The following is a 21289-nucleotide window of genomic DNA, read 5'->3' as shown; positions in this document are numbered from 1 at the left end:
AAGCAGGGAAGCTGGCCTGTCCTAGCCCCACCTGCCTAAGGATGTCAGGAGAGGCAGCAGTCCCCACAGCCTGGCTTTCGCGAGTCGGACTGTGACGCCCTGATGCGAGCCAGCCATCTGTGTCACTACCAATTAAACAATGAAATATCTGAAGTAGAAAAAAAAATCAATTGCTGGCTGACTCCTGCAATCTAGTTGTGGAGAAGTGATAATTACCCTCCGCTTTGGTCTCTGAGGGCCCTGCTTTGACATTCAGCTCCGCAGTGTCAGGCCCAGGGGAACCAGCTCCCCAGTCTCTCCGCTTGGGTCTTTCACTGAGCACGTGATTCCCCACACCGAGCGAACTTCAAAGCTCCCAGTGTAGATGGAAAATCGGGTTTAAAAACATGATATCATGGGCTCAGAACCCAGGGAAGCCGATTTTGTTGGGGGAGGAAATCACGCCCCCTCCAGCTGGCTGCCCACCCCCGGCGTCCTTTACCTGGTTACCTACTGACGTGCAATGCCTGGGGAGAGAGGTTGATTCGAGGCGGCAGCAGTTTCTATAAGCTGTCGCAGGCGCATTGGCAGACAGCTTCTGATGTTGTAAGACTTCTCATTGGGTGTTTGATGAGCTCAACGTCTCCTCATCTGACATCCTGCCTGGGCGGCAGGACGGGGAGTGAAGGCAGGGAGGGAGCCTCCAAATGCCCCTCTCCTGCCATTCAGCTTTAATTAAACTGCCGGCATTTCCAATTCTCTTTCTGGACTCCGTAATTACCGTTAGATAACAAAAACGACAAGAGGGCTCCACCTGGCCCCTGCACCCCACGTGTGTTTGGATGACCCAGACTAGAGAAGGCATGGCTCTGCCAGGTGTCCACAACCACAGAGCCGACTGCAGCTTGGACGTGTCCCTCAGCCACACAGGCACTCCCCAGATCAACATCCTCCTAGTCACTCTGGCCAGAAGCCCAGGCCTCCTCCTCCTCCCCACCGACCAAATCCCATCAGTCACTGAATCCAGCAGGCCCCACCCCGGGCACCTTCTCAGGGTTAATCCTTTCTGTCCCCACTGGTACCGCCCCAGCTCGGACTCTCCTCCTTTCCTACCATGCTTTGATGAGCTTCCTAACTGCTCTCTCCTACTCACCTCTGCCCTCCAATTCATCCTGCACAGCAGGATGCAAACTGAGATGCATGGCCAGAGAAAGACAACACCATCCGTCCCCTTGCCCTGCTGACGTGGAGCTCAGGACTCGGGCGGGTGCGGCTGCTGTTGCCTGCAAAGAGCCCCAGCTTCACCCCTTCTGTGGGTGTGAAAAAGCAAAAGGCCACAGGCCAAGCTTGCTGATCTCGGGGGGGCCTTTTGGTGACAGTCACTTATCCTGGGGAAGGAAGGGAAGCAGCTAGGGACACTTTCCCACTGATTACCTACCCATGTGCGCCTGGGGCCGAGTCGCCTCCCACACCTGCCCTGCCTGCCTCCCAAGGGCTGTTGGAAGGCTCGGATGAGATCATGCCCACGAAATCCCACAAAAACGCTGTGCAGTTATGAGGGATCGTTATAAGGCAAATGGGGGGAACTCCCCACATCTGAAGCCCTAAGTCTCTCAGGGTGGAAAGGACAGCAGCTGAGCAAACAGGTCAAACTGCTGTCTCCCAGAATGGCCGTCTGTGTGGCAGCCCAGGGGAGTTAGTCTATCTGGGACCAGAGGGCAATTCTTCCCTTTCCCACAGAGGGTAGAGCTGGGTCTGCCTGCAGCCTCTGACTCACACATCTCCAGCTGTGGAATCTCCTTTTCTGATCTCCCCAAAGAGAGGATCAAGGTCTATGGGGCAGGTTGTCAAACTTCAGTGTGTAAAGAATCACCTGGGAGCAGGGATGTGGGTATGCGTATTGAAGATGCAGATTCTAGGGCCCCATCCTCAAAGACTCGAATTCAGCAAAGGCCCAAGAAAATGCATTTTAACAGCAGCCTCCGTCTTCCACCCCCACTCAGGTCACTTGAATGCACGAGGGGGACGTCCCACTTTGAGTGAAGGCTGCTGCGTGCAGGATAATATATGGTCTGGAAGCAGAAAGTCACACTGGTTGTTTGGCTTGGAGTGAGTCATCTACTGGGTCTCAGTTACCTCATTTTAGAGTGGGGAGGTGATGCCTTTACAGGGCTGTTCTGAGCTTTAAATGAGATGCTGCAACAGCGCGGTACTTGTCCTGCTGTGAGCGATGGGTAAATGCAGGTGCCCTCTTCTCTCCTCAGTGATGGAGCCCAGAACAAAGGGGCCACCACTTCAGGAGAGGGGGCGAGAAAGAAGGAGACAGCCCATGGGGGGCCCGCTGAGCTCCCGAGGAGCCAGGCAGCCCGCGCCTCCCGCGGCACAGACATCAAGGTGGGGATGTCGTTCCTCTGCTCAATGCCGTGCCCAGCAGGCCCTGCCAACGGTGCTGATTAAAGCTCAGGGAACACGACACTTCCAGAAAGGTCAAAACTTGAACTAATAGAGGGGAAGGGCAGCCCAATTAAGGAAGAACCCACAAGATGAACCGTTCACCCAGCCATACCGGGTGTCTACACCCATATGCTGAATGTCGCAATGCACGGCTAAGAAAACCGCTGCCAGAGTAAAGTATCTCAAGGCAGGCTGCGGGGAACCAGTGCAACTTCTAACTGGCACAGCTGCCACCAGAGCACAGAAAGGTGCTCTGTGGAGACGATGCATCCAGGAGAGGGTGTCGTTAAGTACTCTGGGTACACTGCAAAGACTGTCACCAAGACTGCAACAGACCCCATCTGAATTATCACCAATGTTTATGCCAGTAGAGTGGGAACCACTAAACAACAAACTTTCTCTTAAGTTCCCCATGTACATACCCTGGGGAGAGAGGAGGAGAGGAGGAGGACAGGAGGAAGAGAGGAGAGGAAATGAGGAGGAGAGGAGAGGAAATGAGGAGGAGAGGAGAGGAAACGAGGAGGAGAGAAGAGGAGAGGAGAGGAGAGGAGGAAGAGAGGAGAAGAGAGGAGGAGGAGAAGAGAGGAGGAGGAGAGGAGAGGAGGAGGAGAGGAGAGGAGGAGGAGAGGAGGAGGAGAGGAGGAGAGGAGAGGAGGAGGACAGGAGGAGGAGAGGAAGAGGAGAGGAGAGGAGGAGGAGAGGAGAGGAGGAGAGGAGAGGAGGAGGAGAGGAGAGGAGGAGAGGAGAGGAGGAGGACAGGAGGAAGAGGAGGAGGAGAGGAAGAGGAGAGGAGGAGGAGAGGAAGAGGAGAGGAGAGGAGGAGGAAAGGAAGAAGAGAGAAGGAGAGGACAGGGGAGGAGAGGAGAGGACAAGAGGAGGAGGAGAGGAGGAAAGGAGGAAGAGAGGAGGAGGAAAGGAGGAGGAGAGGAGGAGGGGAGGGGAGGAGAGGAGAGGAGGCTGCACAGCTGCCCGCAGGAGGGGCTCCTGCTGCAAGACCCCCACAGAGCACCCCTTTAACTTCCTCCATCCCTGGTCTCTAGATTCACATCGATCCAACAGTACGGAAGTGTACTGCAGTGGGGAAAGTGCCACAGATTCCACGCAGGCTGTGAGGCCTTGTGCAAGTTACTTAAGCCCTCTGAATTCCACCTGTAAAATGAGGCTACTTCATGGTTCTATGAAGATGAAAAGAAATGTGATCAAGCCTAGATAAAATCTTGCCTGGTGCCTGCCCCAGCTGGCTGAGCTCTGCCCTTCCTCTGGGACAGGGCCTGACACACAGGAGGTGCTCAGGGTCACCGTGCAGCAATGCTAGTTCACGCTGCCCTGACTGTTCCCCTCTTGGCAGACGGACCCCGTAACACAACCCAAGTGCCCTGTTTCCCCGTTTCCCTGCCCACTCAGCGGCTCCGGACTCTGCCTACAGCCAAGTCCAAGGCCCTCAGCTTGGCTGCAGACCCTTCATGTGCGTCCAACCCAAAGAGGCATTTATCCACTTTCCCCCAGATAATCAGCTCATACCCCACAAGATTATTTGATGTTCTCCAAACTCACCCAGCAGGCCCCGGCTTGTGCCTTAACTCACACAGTCACTCTCTAAGCCTGTAGTGATGGGAATGCTCTTTGTTGAGGTCCTTGTTTCACTCTTCCCAGGGCTGTCCCAGGATTGTCCTCTGTCCTCAGTCCCCAGTGTAGTGTGTGCCTTCCCTAGGACACATGTCTGCCCAGTGCTGTGTCTGTCTAGGCACATGAGGGTGTCTCCCCATCTATCCAGGAGGGGTGGGGGACAGAGCCCTGCCATCGATCTAAACAGAATGCCTCCACATAGGTGGCTTCCCTTGGGGAGCTGAGATGTGGCTTGGGCCTGAGTCCTGGTCCATCAAGAGGGCAGAGCCAAATCCAGAGCTGCAATAGCATCTTTTTTTTTTTTTTTGAGATGGCATCTCACTCTGTTGCCCAGGCTGGAGTGCAATGGTGCAATCTCTGCTTACTACAACCTCTGCCTCCCGGGCTCAAGCAATTTTCCTGCCCCAGCCTCCCGAGTAGCTGGGATTACAGGAGTATGCCACCACACCTGAGTAATTTTTATATTTTCAGTAGAGACGGGGCTTCGCCATGTTGGCCAGGCTGGTTTCAAACTCCTGACCTCAAATGATCTGCCCGCCTCGGCCTCCCACAGTGCTGGCATTACAGGCGTGAGCCACCGCGCCCGGCTACAACAGGGTCTTGTTCCCCACTTGGAGGCGAGGCTGCCCCCACCCCAGCAGCAGAGCATCTGTGCTTCGTCCGCTGGGGCTTCCCAGCTATCTGTGGCCGCGTTCCATTGTCTTGGACTCACTAATTAGACATCATAAAACACTGGGCTCCCTCCCTACACTGGCAGCAGCAGAGCCCAATTCCACCCAGCCAGGCCGCTTCCTCTCCCAGAGCCCTCTACCTCAGTGTGGGGCTCTGATTCCGACCCTGCAGGTCAGGTCTCCCTGCTGCAACCCCTGGGGCTCACTCCCTGTCGAGCTGATCCAGTGAGGCCATCACTCTCGACAAGGTTGAATGAAGGAGGGTGTATGTACAAAGGAGACCCAGGCTGGCTCTCCAGAGGAGGAAGACAGATGGCACCCATGTGAGCAAGGCCAGCTAATTCAGCTGTGAACAGCCACGTGTTGTGACCTGCCAGGGAGTAGGCAGAGCAATTCTTTGTAAGATCCTAGGCCAGCTTTTCCCTGCCCCACGGCAAGCTTCTGGGATGACTTTCCCGGCACTAAGTTGGTGTTAATTAGTGAAAATTATCTAATGCAAGCTCATTTTAACATTAGCTTAAAGCCAAACATAATTAGAAAGATAAATCAGTGGCTAAAAAAAATCCAAAGAAGATACACAAGCGATTTTTAGGATCATCTGCTGGTTGGTGTTACTAGCCTTGAGCTCTCAAGTACATGGACAGAGCGAGGCAGGGCTCAAGAAATATCTGTCGAGGTATTTCTTGATTGATCTATCAGGGTAAGACAAATGGAGTTGGCAGTTTGCCTGGGAGGTGCTGAGACGCAGCAAGGATAACTCTGTGGCTATTGCCAGATGATGTTACCTGGGAGGGCTTCCCTACGGAGGCAAGTTGAGAGTGCAGGGAGGGATATGATTGAAAGTGATCAGGAGGGCATTCAAGTGATGGAAACAGTGTGAGTCCACGTGTCCTGGGCCTCCAGTTTTGTACACAGCCTGCCCTGCCTTTCCACAACTGGCTGATTCAGCCATCAATTCCCAGGAAGCTGCTGTTCACCTGGAGCTCAGTACAGGTGCACAAGCCTGAGAATCGACACATCTCAGTTCCCATCTAGCATCCTATTTACTGGTGGTGTGACCTTATCCTCTCTGAACCTCAGTTTCCTCATCCGTAAAATGAAAAGCTGCTAGATTGTTGTAAAAAAATTAAATGGAATAGGCTAGGCGCGGTGGCTCACGCCTGTAATCCCAGCACTTTAGAAGGTCGAAGAGGGTGGATCACTTGAGGTCAGGAGTTTTGAGACCAGCCTGGCCAACACGGTGAAACCCCATCTCTACTAAAAATAAAAAATTAGCTGGGTGCGGTGGCTCACACCTGTAATCCCAGCACTTTGGGAGGCTGAGACGGGTGGATCACCTGAAGTCAGGAGTTCAAGGCCAGCCTGGGCAACATGGTGAAACCACGTCTCTACTAAAAATACAAAAATTAGCCAGGTGTGGTGGCACACGCCTGTAGTCCCAGCTACTTGGGAGGCTGAGGCGGAAGAATCGCTTGAACCCAGTAGGCAGAGGTTGCAGTGAGCCGAGATAAGAGTCACTGCACTCCAGCCTGGGTGACAGAGCAAGACTCCCTCTCAGAAAATAAAATAAAATAAAATAAAATAAAATAAAATAAAATAAAATAAAATTCTAAAAGGGCTGGCATTTGCCTAGCACTTATATGCCCAATAAGTAATAGCTATCAATATCCCCACCCCTACCACTGTGCTGAAATTTAGTTTCTTTTTGTCACCCCCCATTAGACTTAAGGCAGAATTCTCACCGTACTCCTCTGTAAATTTCTGGTTCCTGGCACATAGTTGGGTCTCAGTGAAACATGGTGAGTGAATGAGCAAATGCAAGGAATCTCCAGGCCATCTGGGAGCCCTCCCAGGCGGGTGAGTTCGGGAAACTCATAGTCTGTCCTCAATGGCCCACTGAAAGGTAGAGAGTTCTGGGTCCCACCTCCGCACCCCCATCTCCTGACTCACTGCTGAAAAATAAATAAATAAATAAAATAACACTTATCCGGAGCCTCCCACATGCCTTGCCAGGACTGCAAGGAGCCCAGCAGAATGATGACCGGCGTGCAAGCTGTGCCCCGGCGTGCATATGTTTCCAGATTATTGGAAACCTGGGCCAGAGAGACTAATAATTAGAAAAGCCATAGGCTCTCTTCCAGGGCTAAGATTATGGGATCATTAGCAAGTCCACAGACTCTGATTTCAGAGAATGAACAAGGAAACTGGGAAGGGCAGCAGCTCCAGCTGAGGCCGGCTGGTCATGGCACCTGGCATGGTGTGTGGGGGTGGGGGCAGGCAGGGATAGCTAGAATGACTCAGCCTTGGGGGTGGCTCAGGACACCCCCCCTGAGCAGGGGGCAGGTGGTCAGCTAGGACGCAGCCCTGGGCTCATTTGTTCTCTGCCCTCCTCCCCACCTCCCCCAGCTTGGATTGGAAGCTTGTCCCCAAATAGGCTCTGCTTTGCACGCTCTAAGAAAAGGGAGGCAGATCTGGCCACCAGCCAAGGTGAGGCAGCATCCCTGGGGGTGAGAAGATGGGGGGACTGACAGTTGCTGGGCTAGGATTCACTTCAAGGTCTCAGCCTGTCAGGGAGGGGCGTAAGTCCCAGGGGGCCAGAAAGTGGCCATAAAGAGGACAATCTAGGTCTCTGGAGAAACTACCTGTACCCAGCTTCCCTGTGTTACCTGCCTCAATGTCACTAGGCAGGAGGAACCCTCTTCCCCAGCCTTAGCACAGAGTGGACCAGCTGGCAGTTGTGTACTTGTCTGTCTCTAGAACTGGTCCAAGAGCCTCCCAGGGCCTGGCTGGCGACATACAGACTTTGAATGTTTCTGCAAGTTTTAGAGGAAGAGATGGCCCCAGAGGACAATTCCCAAGGGCAACTGCCGTGGATGGACACCACTTTGAGCTGAGACCTGGGTGGAATCTCCCCCAGCCTCTTCTGAGTTCTGCAACCTTATGCTTTCCCGGAGCCTCAGGGAAAATATCTCTTCCTTTGCAAGGTGCTGAGGGTTGGATTAACGAAACGAAATGGCACACAGGGCACCGATCCTGTCACTCAACATTAGCCCTTCTTCAGAGAAATCCCTTTTACTGCACGCATCACTCACCCTTCTCAAAGTGCTTTCTCATAGCCTTGAACTAGGTTCTCAGAACAATTTGTGGAAATAAGAAGGCAAGAATTATCCCCATGTTAGAGATGCAGAAACAGAGGCCCAGCAAAGCTAAATGATGTACCCCACGTCACCCAGTGAGCTAGGAAAGAGATGGCCAGGGCAAAAATGACGATTCCCAGGCTCCTGGCTCCCAGCCGCATGGGATCCCTCCACCCGCCAGTGGCCTGGACTTTTGGAGACCTCCACCCAACAGAACTGGCTTTGCTACCGTGAACCTTCAAGAGAAGGTCATGAAGTTTACTGAGGCCCCAACTTCTACTTTTGAACTTTCTGGGAAACACCCATCCTCAGAGGTTCAGGGACCCAAAGTATCGGATTTCAGAGGAGCCAACTCTCCCCTCCCTCTTCCCCAAAGAGGGAAACACAGCCCAAGGCAATGATTACATCAGGGTTAACCATCAGCAGCTCCACCCTCTTGTTCCAATGAAAGCTTTAGTTCTCCAGAACTAAAAGAACTTGGGGAGTCTTTCCAGGCTGCCCTGGGGCTCTCTGGGCTGGGCCTGTGCAGCAGTCTGGCCCTTCAGGATGACCGTGTGTGGGGAACATCCTCAGGGGACCCCCGCTTTAGGAACAAGGAAGCCTCTGCACCTTCCTGCTTTATCCCTCTCTGCCCATGCCAGATCCCAGCATAGATCCTGGGCTGAGGATTCCAACGCCACAGCCTCCCGAAGGCAGCTCGGAGGCCGGCAGAAAGCTGCCCTTACCAACCACGGCCCACCACCACCAAATCAAGGCAAACAGATCAATACAGTGAGCGGCTGGGAGGGCTGTGGGCAGCCACTCCTGTCTCGCTCAAAGGTGGAAACAGGAAACACGCCGGCACAGGGTCTTTGGCCCTCCCAATTCCCCTACCTCTAATCTCCTGGGTGGGGCTCCCTAACTTCTGGGGAGAAAATTTGGCCACCCTTCCCTCCTCTGCTCTGCAAAAAGGCAGAGATGACAGCAGTTACTTTCTAAAATAATGAACATTTGTATGATACTTTCCAGTATCCTCAGCTTTCACACATGGTTTCTCCCTTGTTTTTCTTATCTTTTTGGGTTTTTTTGTTTTGTTTTTTATTTATTTATTTTGAGATAGAGTTTCACTCTGGCACCCAGGCTGGAGTGCAGTGGCGAAATCTCTGCTCACCGCAACCTCCACCTCCCATGATCAAGCAATCCTCCTACCTACCCAGCTCAGCCTCCAGAGTAGTTGGGATTACAGGTAGACACCACCACATCTGGCTAATTTTTGTACTTTTTGTAAAGATGGGGATTTGCCATGTTGCCCAGGCTGGTCTCAAATTCTTCAGCTCAAGCGATCTGCCCGCCTCGGCCTCCCAAAGTGCTGGGGACATGAGCCGCCATGCCCCACCCTCCCTTGTTTTTCAAAGCCATCCAGGAAGCTCAGTATTATCTTCCCCATTTTATCAGCCAGGAGCTTTAGAGAGGGAGGTGATTTGCTCAAGGGAACACAGTGAGTAAGTGGTCAGATGAGGGCAGAAATCAAGACCTTTCAACTTCAGAGTCTGTCTTCTGTTTTTGACATGAAGCTGGTCCATTGCTCAGAAATGCCAGCTCCTGGGATCATTGATCAAGCATAAAAGAGAAAGACTCAGAACCCAATAGCCAATTCGTCCAGGGCTTGCCAGGAATACCTGGACAGGCCGGGGCAAGATCCCAGAAAGGCTAAGTGCTTATTCTCTGGAGCTGCAGCTGTGCCATTATCCACCAGCCTTAATGCAGCAAGGACTCTGAACTGCCCAGTGCCTCTGAAACAAAGCTCATGTGGCATGGCCACTTGCAGAAGGGTGGAACGATTAGGAGTGCATGGGGCCTGTGGGTCCCTGGGCTGCCTGAGAGGCCCTTCTTGCTCTGTGAATTTAAATCAGGCTTTTAAAAGGCAGCTTACGAGCTTCTAGATAAAGTCAATTGTCCCCCTTAGATGGAAGGGGAGGAGGATAATGGGAGAAAAGAGGGAGGCAGGAAGGTATTAGGAGCAAGTCAAGAATTGGGACCAGCTCTCAAACAAGGTGGTGAGGTGACTAATGAATGTATTGCTTGACTTTCAGAATTCAAAAACCAGTAACATTTTTAAAAATTACATACTTTTTAAACTAGGGTTTTTTTGGGCATCTGCTTCATTGCAGCATCTCAATGTCCAGCAAAGTGCCTGGTATGGAGAAGGCGCTTGGTACTGTTTGCCAGTGTAGCTGAATGAGGGAAACGTCATTTGCAGTTAATGGGGAAAGACGGTAGGCTCCACTCAGGGGCCAGGCCCACCATATGCAAAGCTGAGTCTTTTGTGGAGTTGAGCTGATGACTCCAAGACTTTGCCATGCCCGGGGGCATCTGTATCCCAGCTGTTCACCATATCCTCCTCCCACCAGCTGCCCAGACCTCAAACCAAGGCTGCTAACCTCAGCCAGCCATGCCTCCTGCTCTGGAGCCTTTCCCTAAATCCCCTGATGCACCTCCCTCCCTGCACCCCATATCCCCAATTTAGAGCATTCTTCTCTCTGCTGCCAGCCAGCTTGTTACGATGTAGATTAAAGGAGTTCCCCAGGGAATGTGCAATTCCATGGGGACATCTCCAGACACTTGCTTCCCCAGAGGGACAGGCGGCCAATAGAAGACAGTTTTCAATTCTATAAACAGATAATTGATCACCTGTGACAGTCAGAGCACTGTTCGGGTACCGGAAAGGAAACTGAGAGAGTAAGCCAGTCTCTCTTTTCCAAAGTTCCCAATCCAGGAGGGTCAAATGCACTCTCCCAAAGCAAACTGTGTGGACCTTCTGGATTGAAAATTAAATTGACAAAATGCCAAGGCAGAGGTGGCCTCTTAGCCAGGCCTTGAAGGAAAAGGGACAAACCCATCGACAGGCAGAGGTGGGTTAGGGACCAGCCTGGCTGGTTACCCTCCTTCCTCAACCATTCAGGCAGGCCTTTTCCACTAACTACAACAGGAATAAAAATAGAAGCAGCTCCTAGTTAGTCATGGTTACCTACTCCAGCAGCCTCCCTCTCCTACGTTGTGTTTACAATCCACATGGGGTCACTGGCGTCACTGGTAATCCCAACCAAGGACCTGGGGATGTTGTGTAACCTCCTTGTCCTGGTCTGAAGATAAGTCATTTCACCCTTTTGGAGCTCAGAGGGAGCCTCTGTGTAATGAAGACAAGACCCTGCCTTACGCAGCTATTGAGGTGCGGAGGAGATTGGACAGTTTGTGATAAACCAAGATGAGCTGGTTAGCTGGGTCAATGGTTCATCTGGGTGTGAGCCAGGAATGCGGGGGTCAAGGGTCAATCTTTGAGAAGCGGATGTGGTAAACTTGCCTCTGTTCCCAAAGCACAAGGCAACGTTCTCTAAATCCGCCCAGCAGCCTCAAAATTGGATGCCGCTGGTCACAAGGGAGCCTGGGCGCAAGATGGGTGGACAGCTTCGTGCCATCTCAGCTTCCTGCTGTGTTCCGACATGCCTGTAGACAGGTCCTCGGCATCAAAGGGCCTTCCCTAACCCGGTTTAGGGGCTGGGCTAGTGCCCCTCCCGCCACGCCCTCTGTCCAGCACTCCTCAGACTGTATTAGATGATGGATCAGCAGAAGATTAGGCTATTTAAGAGCAGAGGTGTGTTTTAGGTATCTGCTTTCCACTAAAGTATGCTTAGCACATGCAGTAAACCTCTAAATATTTGTCCAGTGGTCAAACGGATGCACAATCCTTCCAAGTTGCCAGCCTATCCAGATTGGTCCCCTTACTCTGGCTTTGCAAATAAGAACCAAGAGTTTCCCAGTCTACACATGGTCTTGCTGTAAGTCCACTCCGGGGCAGTTACGATGACCTGAGCAGCCCATGCATCAGCAACTTCCCCTGGTCTTCTTTGTTAGCGTAGCATAGGTCAGGAGATCATTTTTGGGTCCCTAAAGATGCCCTTTCTGCCTCTAATTTAAGTAGACAAAGTCCCTCATTCAGAGGCACCCAGGTAAGCAGATCACTCAAAAGGAAACAAAACAAAACAAAACAAAAAAAACAGCAGAAAAAAACCCCGCCCCACAAGTAAACAGCTGAATGGCGGTTTGGGAAGGGCTTTCTGACATTTGCAGAGGCCCAGGGTACAGGCCGCTCAGCCAGACCTCCTCAAAGGCCCTCCTACCAGTCCACAAGGCCCCTGCTGGGCTGTTTCCTCACTGGTCCCCATCCTCAGCCCCTCCCCCCTCACCCCCCATTCATGTTCTCCTAATTAGGCTCCTTTCTCCATATCCCTGAGTACCAGGTATAGAATCACCCGCTGGCCTGTGACTGTAGGCACGGCAGCCACGGGCAACTCCTTCTGAACCTTACTTTCCTGTCTGTGATTCAGGAATCAAAATGATAACACCTCACAGGGTTATTCTGAGGATTAAATGAAATAAAATGCAAAACTCTGGCACACAGTTGGATGTGTGCATGTCCTGCTGCCTCCCCTCGGCAGTTCCCCCGTGTCCCTGCATGTAAACCATCTCAGTCTGCCCCACCTGGCCTCACAGCAGCCAGACTCTCACTAGAAACAAAGGAAACTCCCTCCCTCAGGGCGAAAGGGGAGGAGGAAGGATCTAAGTTAATGGCCAGGGAAGGCTGCCTGCCAGCTGGACAGGCTGGCGTGGGGGTGGGGGACAGGCAGTGATCAGAAGGTGCAGTCCCTAGAGCAGAAGCTGGGTTTTTCTAGAACCAAGTGACCTCTGCCCACGTGACCTCTGGGCAAGTCTCTTTCCTTCTCTGTGCCTCAGTTTCCTCACCTGTGAAACAGGGTCAACCTCTCTGTCCCAACTTCTTCTCAGGGTCTTCGGGAAGAAGAGGCTGTGCGGACAGGCAGGACAGTGATTAAGGGTGGGGACCCGGAGGTCCTGATACTTGGGTGGGCGCAGACAGTGTCCAACACTGTTGCTTCCTTGGGGGTGGTTGCCTGCCTTGGGCCCAGTTTTAGGGTCCCCAAACCAGGCCCCACACAGTACTCACCTCCCCCCACGACAGCTCTTTTTACCTGCCAATCAAACCTCCTTGCTTTTTCGAAGCAAAAAGCTCTCTTACTGAAACAGTGCCCATTCCAGTTGACCCTCTCCCTTTCCAATTCTGCAACTCACCTCCCTCAGGAAGCCTTCCCAGATTAGGCACATTCAGCCTTAAAAACTCTTTTCTTTCCAGCAGAGCCCTAGCATTTGTTAAGCTCTTGGAGGGCAAAGCCACACCGTGTATCTTCTTCATGGCTAGGTAGTGCCTGGCACACAGTCAGCCCTCAGGAAATCACTGGTTAAACCTGTACTTATTGGATGGGTTCACAATTGTTAAAAGTTTCTGTTGTTAAATATTTAAAGAGTCAAAAATACCTCACTATGCAGGAAAGAGTCCTGTCATCCCACATGGGACTAGATGCCTCAGTGGCCAGAAGCCCAGTCTCCCCCTTCTAGTAACAGGGGTACACCACCTGCACTCCAGGTTGTGACCAGGCTAGCTTCATTCAAACCCCTTGCTTAATCGGACTGCACCATTATTTCAGACACTGGGGCAGTGTAGCACAGTGGTTAAGAGCAAGGGCTTTGGAGTTTGGGTCCTGGCTCAGCCACTTACTAGCTATGGAAACTCTGGCAAGAAACTTCTGAATCCTGATGTCTTTTTCTCCAAAAATAAGGAAAACACATATTCACCCGGTTGTTGTGAAAAGCTAATGAGAAAATGCAGGTGAGTCATTAACACAGTGGATGGCACATATTAAATGCTAAATAAATAGAGGCTTTGTTAGTATGACATCATGAGACTTGACCCCTAACCCCAGCTGCAGCCTGTATTGCCGCCTACATCCTTTTTCCCTCTTCTGTGTCCAATCTTGCCTTTTTCTTCTGCAGAACACAATATACAAAGAAAACTCAGTCAGACAGGGAGGAATTATAGAGAGGGAGGGTAGAAATGTGCGCAGTGGAAAGTTAACCCTTCCTTCTGGTAGCCAATGTAGCCAACTATCTAGATCACCCCAACTACCTAAATCACCCCTTCCAGGAAGATGAGCCTGAGCACTGGTCTTTCTAGCTCTATTTTCCCTCCTCAGGCCTCTTCAGCCTCGAGGGGAACCAGGACTCCAACCTCACTCACTGAGTGGAATTTGAGTGGTGAACCCAAGCCACTCCTGTTGTATTATTCTGAATTGGGCACCAAAAGCTGCTGCTGTTTCTTAACAAATCTCAGTGTAGGGCAGCCAGAGTTAGCAAATAAAAGTACAAAACGTTCCCATTCAATTTGAATTTCAGATACACAACGAAGAATTTTTCAGTATCAGTACGTCTCATGTCATGTTTGGGATAAGCTGATACTAAAAAGTTATGTGTTGTTTATTGAAAGTTCAAATGTAGTGGGGCATCCTACATTTGATCTGGAAGCTGCCCAGGACTCCCACCCAAAGGCATAAAGATTAAAGTCTTCCACCTGTTCCACAGTGGACTGGCCTCACCAGCCACCCTGGAAACAGCCCCTCCTTCCAACTCTCAAGCAGGACACATATGCTAAGTAGGAGCCCTTTCCTGAGCTGCCGAGTCAGGTGACCTGCTGTGCCAAGGCGCCCAGCACAGGGCCAGGCACACAGTAGGTCCTCAATATACCCCGTCCCCCATTCATTCCAGGCAGCTGGGGCCTAGTACCCGGCCCAGGAGAGGCTGTGACTGTGAGGGCGCCAGCTCAGCTTTGACTATGGGAGGAGAGGGGTGGTCCAAGGAGCAGCATGGCAGAGGTGGGACCGGGAAGGTCACCGCCACCCACTCCCTGAAGTTGTTTTGACGATCACATGAGAAAGCGGCTCGGGATATGTTCTGGGCAGCACGTAGGTTATCATCAAGACCTTTGAGTGGTGCATTTTAACCACAGGGCCTCGGCCCCCAGTCTTCCCTGGGGAGGAAGGCTGGACAGGGAAGTTTCAGAAGTACAGAGCAGAGCCAGTGCCTCTGAACGCTGGAATACCGACGGCTGACATCTGTCCAGCACCTTGTAATTTGCCAAACACGTTCCCAGCCATTCGCTCTACAGGCCTCACTGCAGCCCCAGGAAGTAGGGGCGGGTTGGGGCCCATTTTCCAGAGGGTGCTCAGGGCGGCCTGCCCCGGGCCCTGCCTGGGAGGTGGGGCCCGGTCCAGGGGACTGGGGCCGAGGTCCCAGCGGTGTGGGGGCGAAGGCGGGGGCCTACCTTCTGGGCCTGTTGGATCATCTGCCTGACCACCTGCTTGAGGTGCGGCGCCTTCTCGTCCTTGGGCGGGTGGGTGAAGAGCGTGACCCGGCTCACGCCGCGGTAGAAACCAGTGTCCGTCCAGCCCAGGTCCAGAGGAGGCACCTCGGTGTCGGAACGGTCGGGCCAGTAGGCCAGGGACTCGCCGGACTCAGCCGGCGCCGGCGCGGGGGCCTTGGCCTTGGCCTTGCTCTTGCCCCGGGCGTTGGCGGCGGGGACGGCGTCCTCGTAGGGGCTCCAGGCGGCCCGCAGGGCCTGGCGCTCCGGGCTGGAGAGGAAGTCCCGCAGCTGCTCCTCCTTGAGCCGCTCGCGGTAGGCCTGCTCGCCGCCGCCCAGCAGCGCCTCCAGCGCGGCCCGCCGCCGCTCGCAGTAGTAGAAGGCGGCCTGCGCCTCGGTCACCTTCTCGTTCACGTGCGCCTCGTCCAGGCAGTTCAGCTGGGACTCGGCCATGGCGCCCCGGCCCCGGCCCCGGCCCTGGCCCCGGCCCCGCCGCGGTCCGAGGTCCCACAGCCGCACCTGGAGCCGCCGAGGGGCGGGGCGCCTCACCTGGCCGCGAGCTCTGCCCCGGCCCGTCCCGCCCCGCCCCGCCGTCGGGGAGCGGCCAATCCGCGCGGGCGTGGCCGTCGGGCGGGGAGGGGCCGCCGCCTCCGCCGGGCTCGCCGGGACCTCCGGGCGGCCTGGCGGACGCGGTCGGGCCCGGGCCTGCAGGGCCCACCAGCCGGGGCTAGAGTCCCTGAGGGGACGCCCCCAGGGGGCGGGGCCGTCGCAGACCCACGTGCGGGCTCCGGCCCCGACTCCTCCGCGGGGTAAAGGTTCGCTGTCCGGCCCTCGCTGCCATCCGCCCCCGCCGGCCGCGTCGCGGGTACGAGTTCATTTTCCGCGCACGTGGAGTCCGGAGCACGTGTTCTGGCCCAGTGGCCTCTGGGGCCGCCGAGCTGACCCCTTCCCCGTCGAGGGTCCGGTGTTGGTGGGGGGGCCTGCTGCAGGACGGGATTGTGACGGCTGAGGAGCGGGCAGGGGGTGTGCAAAAGCGAAATGCTAATGAGAGCTCGAGCTCCCCACCCTTGCGTCCCAGTTCTGAGATCAGAGCCCTTCTGGGCTGGGAGTCCAACACCTTCACTGTAAAACTTTCTTTTAAAAAATAGCTATCCAAACAGAAATGATGTAAAGAGCAGCAGTGGAATTCCCCCCGCCCCCACCTTAATTTGAAGTAGGGTGTGTGGTGTCTCTCCGTGTGTGTTTGGGCAAGATAGGCTGCCAGAGACATGATTACTATATTAGTGATTCAAAATGTATGTTTGAGCTCAAGGAAGGAAACCGCACGTGCGTGCACACCACACACACGCACACACACAGCAGCGGTGGCAGCAGCTCTGCTGTTTCCCATCGGATTAAATACAATCGTCTTAGTCATTAACATATTATGTTGTTCATGCACTGCTCTACAATTTGATTCTCCACATTCAAAATATTTTCAGATCATAACAACTAAAGGTTCACATTTCTCTCACTTTATAGCGCAGCATCTCAGAGCTGGAAGGAGCTTTTCAAGCTCCTCCAACCCCCTCATTTTACAGTTGAAGAAATTGAGGCCTAGCAACGTGTGCGTTGCCCAGGTCTCCCGTGAAAGAGGCAGAGCACGGGGACTGCAAGGTTTTCTGTCTTGGAGGTCTTTCGCTGACATCACGGCCGCCTTTACCCTTTCTCCTTTTCTTGTGAAACGACAGGTTATTGGGGACCTGGTTTTCACCCCAGGGGATTTGAAAAGGTCACTTACCATTTCTAGGCCTTCCTTTCATGCTCTGGAAAAAATGAGAGTTAGATTTTCAAATGTCTGCACATTATTGTTATTATTATTTTTTTTTTTACAATAATCAGTTCTGGCATCCTGTGTCAGCCCAAAGATTGGGAGTGGTGAGCAGCAAGGTGTCCATCACCTCACTTGTCCTTTACCCCTCTTGGGAACTGGAAAGCTTCACTCCTGGTAATGCTCCACTCTTAAGTACATATAGACAGATTGTGTCCTTAGATGGGAGAGCACTTAGTTTATTACGACTTGACGCCCTACAAGATGCCAGACTCAATAGTCTGGAGACACACAGGAGCTCAGGGCAGTGGGAGAGACAGACAAACACAGAAGAGGATAGGAGTAATGAGAGTGGTTTCTTTGGGCTTTTTTTGTTTATTTTGTTTTGTTTTACTTTGTTTTGTTTGAGACGGAGTCTCACTCTGTCGACCAGGTTACAGTGCCGTGGTGCAATCTTGGCTCACTGCAACCTCTGCCCCCTGGGTTCAAGCGATTCTCCTGCCTCAGCCTCCGAGTAGCTGGGGTTACAGGCACCTGCCACCGTGCCCGGCTAATTTTTGTATTTTTAGTAGAGTTAGGGTTTCACCATTTGGCCAGGCTGGTCTTGAACTCTTGACCTTGTGATCCACTCACCTTGGCCTCCCAAAGTGCTGGGATTACAGGCATGGCCCAATAGTGTTTTAATAAACACAGTCAGAAATGCTTTGGGAGCAAATGGGCTCAACAAACATTTACTCAATGCCTACCATGTGCCTGGTACACAGTTTGCACCCAGTGTACATTTCTTAAAGAATTTGAGCCAAGAGAAAGGTATGTGGAGGGAGCTTATGGGAATATGAAGGAAGGAGCAATCTGCCCAGTGGGAACTGGGTAAGAAGGGCTTTGTCCAGCAAGAAGGGATTTCAAGTGGAGCCTAAAAGGAGGAGAAGAATTCAAGGTGGAGAGAGGGAATGAAGACATTATAGGTGGAGGGACTTAAAACTGAGTTTAGTCAGAACATTATGCTGGCATCAGGCTTATGTGGACTCAGTCACTTCAAGATGCCTTTCAGAGCCTTAGTCTCCTCATCTGCAAAATGGGATAATAATGCTTAACTCTCCTGACCTCCCACGTTGGTGTAGGGATTAAACGAGAACACTTCTTTGACTTAATTAGTACTCGTGTATCCCTGGTAGAAAGTGGTTTACAATAGTGCTTCCAAAATTTTCCTGTGCAGCCAGGGGGCTTGTTAAAATGTAGATTCTGATTCAGTAGGTCTGGGGTGAGGCCCGAGACTCTGCATTTCTAGCAAGCCCCCAGGTAATGCTAGGAGTGCTGGTCCACTGACCAAACTTTGCATGGCAAGGATATCAGAGATGGTAAATAACAGCATGAACTTTCATATCACAGAGTCCTGGGAATGAATCCAGCTTTCCTAATATTAGCTGTGTGTCCCCAGGAAAGTTATTTTTATTTTCTGGGCCTTTGTCTTGTCATCAGTGAAATATGGGCAATAAGTCCCACCTCAGCTGGGCGCAGTGATGGGCCAGTAGTCCTGGCTACATGGGAGGCTGAGGCAAGAGGATCCCTTAAGCCCAGGAGTTTGAGTTCAGCCTGGGCAACATAGTGAGACCCTGTCTCTTAAAAATGAAGTCCAACCTTACTAGGTTATTTGAGAAGGGAAACAAGTTAATGGATATAGACCACTTAGAAGAATGTCTGGCACAGGTAGCAGCCAGTAAAGGGCAGCTAGTGTTAAAGTATGGGAAGATGGGACTGGAAAGAGGGGGATATGGGGCCAAATTATGGATAATTCGACTTTAGGTCTATCCAGTGGTTAAAGGGCAGTCAGTGAAGGTTGTTGAGACTGATATGGTCACAAAAAAGTAGCAATTACTATGTGCTAATTATTTTATGTACACTTTAAATGAACCCTGTAATCCTATTAGAAAAATTGTTAGCTGAGCTGAGTGGCTCACACCTGTAATCCCAGTGCTTACGGAGGCCAAGGTAGGAGGATCACTTGAGCCCAGGACTTTGAGGCTGCAGTGAGCTATGATTGCACCATTGCACTCCAGTCTGGGCAACAGAAAAAAAAAGGAGAAAAAATGTTATCCTCATTTCACAAGTGAGAAACCTGAAGCACAGAGAGGTTCAGTAGCTACTCTAGGTCACCCAGCCAGTAAGTAGAATAGGCAGAATTCAAACCCAGACCATCTGATTCCAGAGCCCGCCTACCTAACCATTCTGCTACGCCGCCTCAGTCGGGAATGTTAGAAAGAGATATTAGAAAGAAAAAGTATCCCCCTTGTTTAATAATTAATCCAACCAACATTTGCTGAATGCGTAGCTCTGTGTTAAGGGTTAGAAACCATTTGTTTATTTACCAAATACTCATGGAGTCTTACCAAGCGCAAGGCCCGTTTCCAAGTGCAGGCTCTGAGCAAAACCAAGTCCTTGCCCACCCGGAGCTCACATTGAAACAGAATGATTAAGGCATGGTTTTTGCTCTCAAAGACCACAAATATTATGTGATGTGATTTGCAGTTGGACAGAAGGTTAGAAGCAGAACAGAATATTTTAGTAACAGTTCACATTGGAAAAGGTCTTTCCTAGATCTAACTAATATGAAATATTGTGCTTGTTTTGTGATATTCACCTTTATGTACCAATGACTTACTTATTCAACCAACAGTTGGAGGCAGTTAATAGATAAGCAGTACTAGATAACACACTTGACTCTGATAATAACACAGATAGATAACACGCTTGCCTCTGAGAATAACACAGAGGAATCAGACATGATAGCTGGCTGCCCTGGTGACTCTCTTAGTTTAGCTGGGAGTCAAATTCTCACAGCAGTCTTTACAAGGCAGGTTGATAAGTGATACCATGCCACTCACAGAGAGGTTGCAGGCTATGGAGGCCTTTTAATGTACACTTATCTAATTTGACCCATCCCCCTTTCCCCAAATCTGTTGAAGTACTCCGTGAAACGGATTATTGTGAGGTGTCACAGATGAATAAGCTGAGGCTTCTGGAGGGGAGACATCCAGTTCAAGATGATCCACTGGCGACTGGAAATACTGGGATGCATTTCCACATAGCCTGATCCCCAGGCCTTCCACCCTCCGGCCCAGCAAAATACTCTGTGCAATGTGATTGAGATTTTTTTTTTTTTTTGAGACAGAGTTTCACTTTTGTGGCCCAGGCTGGAGTGCAGTGGTGCAATCTCGGCTCACTGCAACCTCCGCCTCCCTAGTTCAAGCAATTCTCCTGCCGTAGCCTCCCGAGTAGCTGGGACTATAGGCATGCACCACCATGCCTAGCTAATTTTTGTATTTTTAGTAGAGACAGGGTTTCACTATGTTGGCCAGGCTAGTCTCGAACTCTTGACCTCAGGTGGTCCGCCTGCCTCGGCCTCCTAAAGTGCTGGATTACAGGCCTGACCCACCGTTTCCGGCCGTGATTGAGATTTTTTTTAAAAAAATCTCTTTTTAGAGAGTGGAAACTGATTTCTTTCAGGCACAGGCCCTATAGATTAAGCTAAGTAACTTCTTTTCCAGGGACACTCCATGAGGCCATGACACCCTAGGAAAGCCCCTGGTCCTCTCCCGGTCTCTCTGGTCCTGAGTCTGGACTTTCCCTGAACTAGGTGAGGCCCGATCGTAGTTACATTTCCAACTTCGGAGGCCACCTTGCCCAAGGTGACTTCAGGCTTCCTGAGAACTGGCGCCTCCTCCAGCAATTCCCCGCAACCCTGCCTGGCTCCCTCCTCCTTCCTCCGGCAGACACCCTCCCCCAAAACCACCCAACTCCTGCCTGGGTACATGGCGGGAGGGATTCACCTTCCTCTCGCCCACCCGCCAGGCACTGAGGGCTGTGTGTTCACAAGATAAAGACATGACACCTTCTAGTTAATATTAATTGTAGCTGTGTTCATCCCTGCACACTTCCCAGGCCCTCTTGTGTAATTTGAGTCCCAAAATAGCCCACTTCATGATATATTCTTAGATGAGTTTTCCAGGGGTGACTTTTTTCCTCTGTAGCAATCTGTGTCATGAGCATCTCTACAAAACTTCAGGGGCTCTCTCTCTCATGCCTCTGTAAAATTCTTGGTTGGCCAGAGAGGGTGAGAGAGAGAATAAGGGGAAGGGGTTCCCCCAGGCCCACTGGGAGGAGAGGCAGAGATCCTAGGACTGAACGACTTAAGCAACCTTCCCGTCTGATCCACTCGACTGCTCCACAATACGCATACACCGAGGTCTCTCACCTGTGTCGGAACTCACCTACGGCTTTCATCTGTTCATTAAATGACTGTTTATGGAGCACTAATTATGTACCAGGCAAGTTCCTGCCCCCACAGACCTTCCAGACTCAGGGGCTTTGC

General features: G+C 52.0%; 2 protein-coding genes across 2 annotated transcripts in view, besides 6 other annotated features; both read right to left on the bottom strand.

The window, feature by feature from the left end:
• FAM83F (family with sequence similarity 83 member F) overlaps positions 1-15652 on the bottom strand; it is a 48581-nt gene extending 32929 nt beyond the window's left edge. The window contains exon 1 of the mRNA NM_138435.4: positions 15075-15652. Within this exon, the coding sequence (NP_612444.2) occupies positions 15075-15563 (489 nt within the window). The 5' untranslated portion in view covers positions 15564-15652. The remainder of the gene's footprint in view (positions 1-15074) is intronic.
• Positions 4262-4761: an enhancer, noted in NCBI's record as "H3K4me1 hESC enhancer chr22:40401849-40402348 (GRCh37/hg19 assembly coordinates)". NCBI's record gives its function as "activates a minimal SCP1, AML or CMV promoter by ChIP-STARR-seq in naive H9 embryonic stem cells {active_cell/tissue: H9 hESC(naive)}" and the evidence as "EXISTENCE:reporter gene assay evidence [ECO:0000049][PMID:30033119]".
• Positions 4762-5263: an enhancer, noted in NCBI's record as "H3K4me1 hESC enhancer chr22:40401347-40401848 (GRCh37/hg19 assembly coordinates)". NCBI's record gives its function as "activates a minimal SCP1, AML or CMV promoter by ChIP-STARR-seq in primed H9 embryonic stem cells {active_cell/tissue: H9 hESC(primed)}" and the evidence as "EXISTENCE:reporter gene assay evidence [ECO:0000049][PMID:30033119]".
• Positions 11980-12585: an enhancer, noted in NCBI's record as "NANOG-H3K4me1 hESC enhancer chr22:40394025-40394630 (GRCh37/hg19 assembly coordinates)". NCBI's record gives its function as "activates a minimal SCP1, AML or CMV promoter by ChIP-STARR-seq in naive H9 embryonic stem cells {active_cell/tissue: H9 hESC(naive)}" and the evidence as "EXISTENCE:reporter gene assay evidence [ECO:0000049][PMID:30033119]".
• Positions 12586-13191: an enhancer, noted in NCBI's record as "NANOG-H3K4me1 hESC enhancer chr22:40393419-40394024 (GRCh37/hg19 assembly coordinates)". NCBI's record gives its function as "activates a minimal SCP1, AML or CMV promoter by ChIP-STARR-seq in naive H9 embryonic stem cells {active_cell/tissue: H9 hESC(naive)}" and the evidence as "EXISTENCE:reporter gene assay evidence [ECO:0000049][PMID:30033119]".
• Positions 15304-15937: an enhancer, noted in NCBI's record as "H3K27ac-H3K4me1 hESC enhancer chr22:40390673-40391306 (GRCh37/hg19 assembly coordinates)". NCBI's record gives its function as "activates a minimal SCP1, AML or CMV promoter by ChIP-STARR-seq in naive H9 embryonic stem cells {active_cell/tissue: H9 hESC(naive)}" and the evidence as "EXISTENCE:reporter gene assay evidence [ECO:0000049][PMID:30033119]".
• Positions 15610-15729: a silencer, noted in NCBI's record as "silent region_13765". NCBI's record gives its function as "represses an Ori minimal core promoter by ATAC-STARR-seq in GM12878 lymphoblastoid cells {active_cell/tissue: GM12878}" and the evidence as "EXISTENCE:reporter gene assay evidence [ECO:0000049][PMID:35858748]".
• LOC124905155 (uncharacterized) lies at positions 15838-21201 on the bottom strand. Its single transcript, XM_047441700.1, has 2 exons — positions 21173-21201; positions 15838-16258 (listed from the first exon to the last, which is right to left on the bottom strand). Exons 1-2 carry the CDS (start codon positions 21199-21201, stop codon positions 15838-15840), a joined length of 450 nt encoding a protein of 149 aa, XP_047297656.1.
• Positions 21202-21289: the final 88 nt, after the last annotated feature.

This window comes from Homo sapiens, chromosome 22 (assembly GCF_000001405.40).
Source record: "Homo sapiens chromosome 22, GRCh38.p14 Primary Assembly".
NCBI classification, from domain to species: Eukaryota; Metazoa; Chordata; class Mammalia; order Primates; family Hominidae; genus Homo; species Homo sapiens.
Note: the sequence above shows the minus strand (reverse complement) of the source record. Positions and strands in the feature narration are given on the sequence as shown.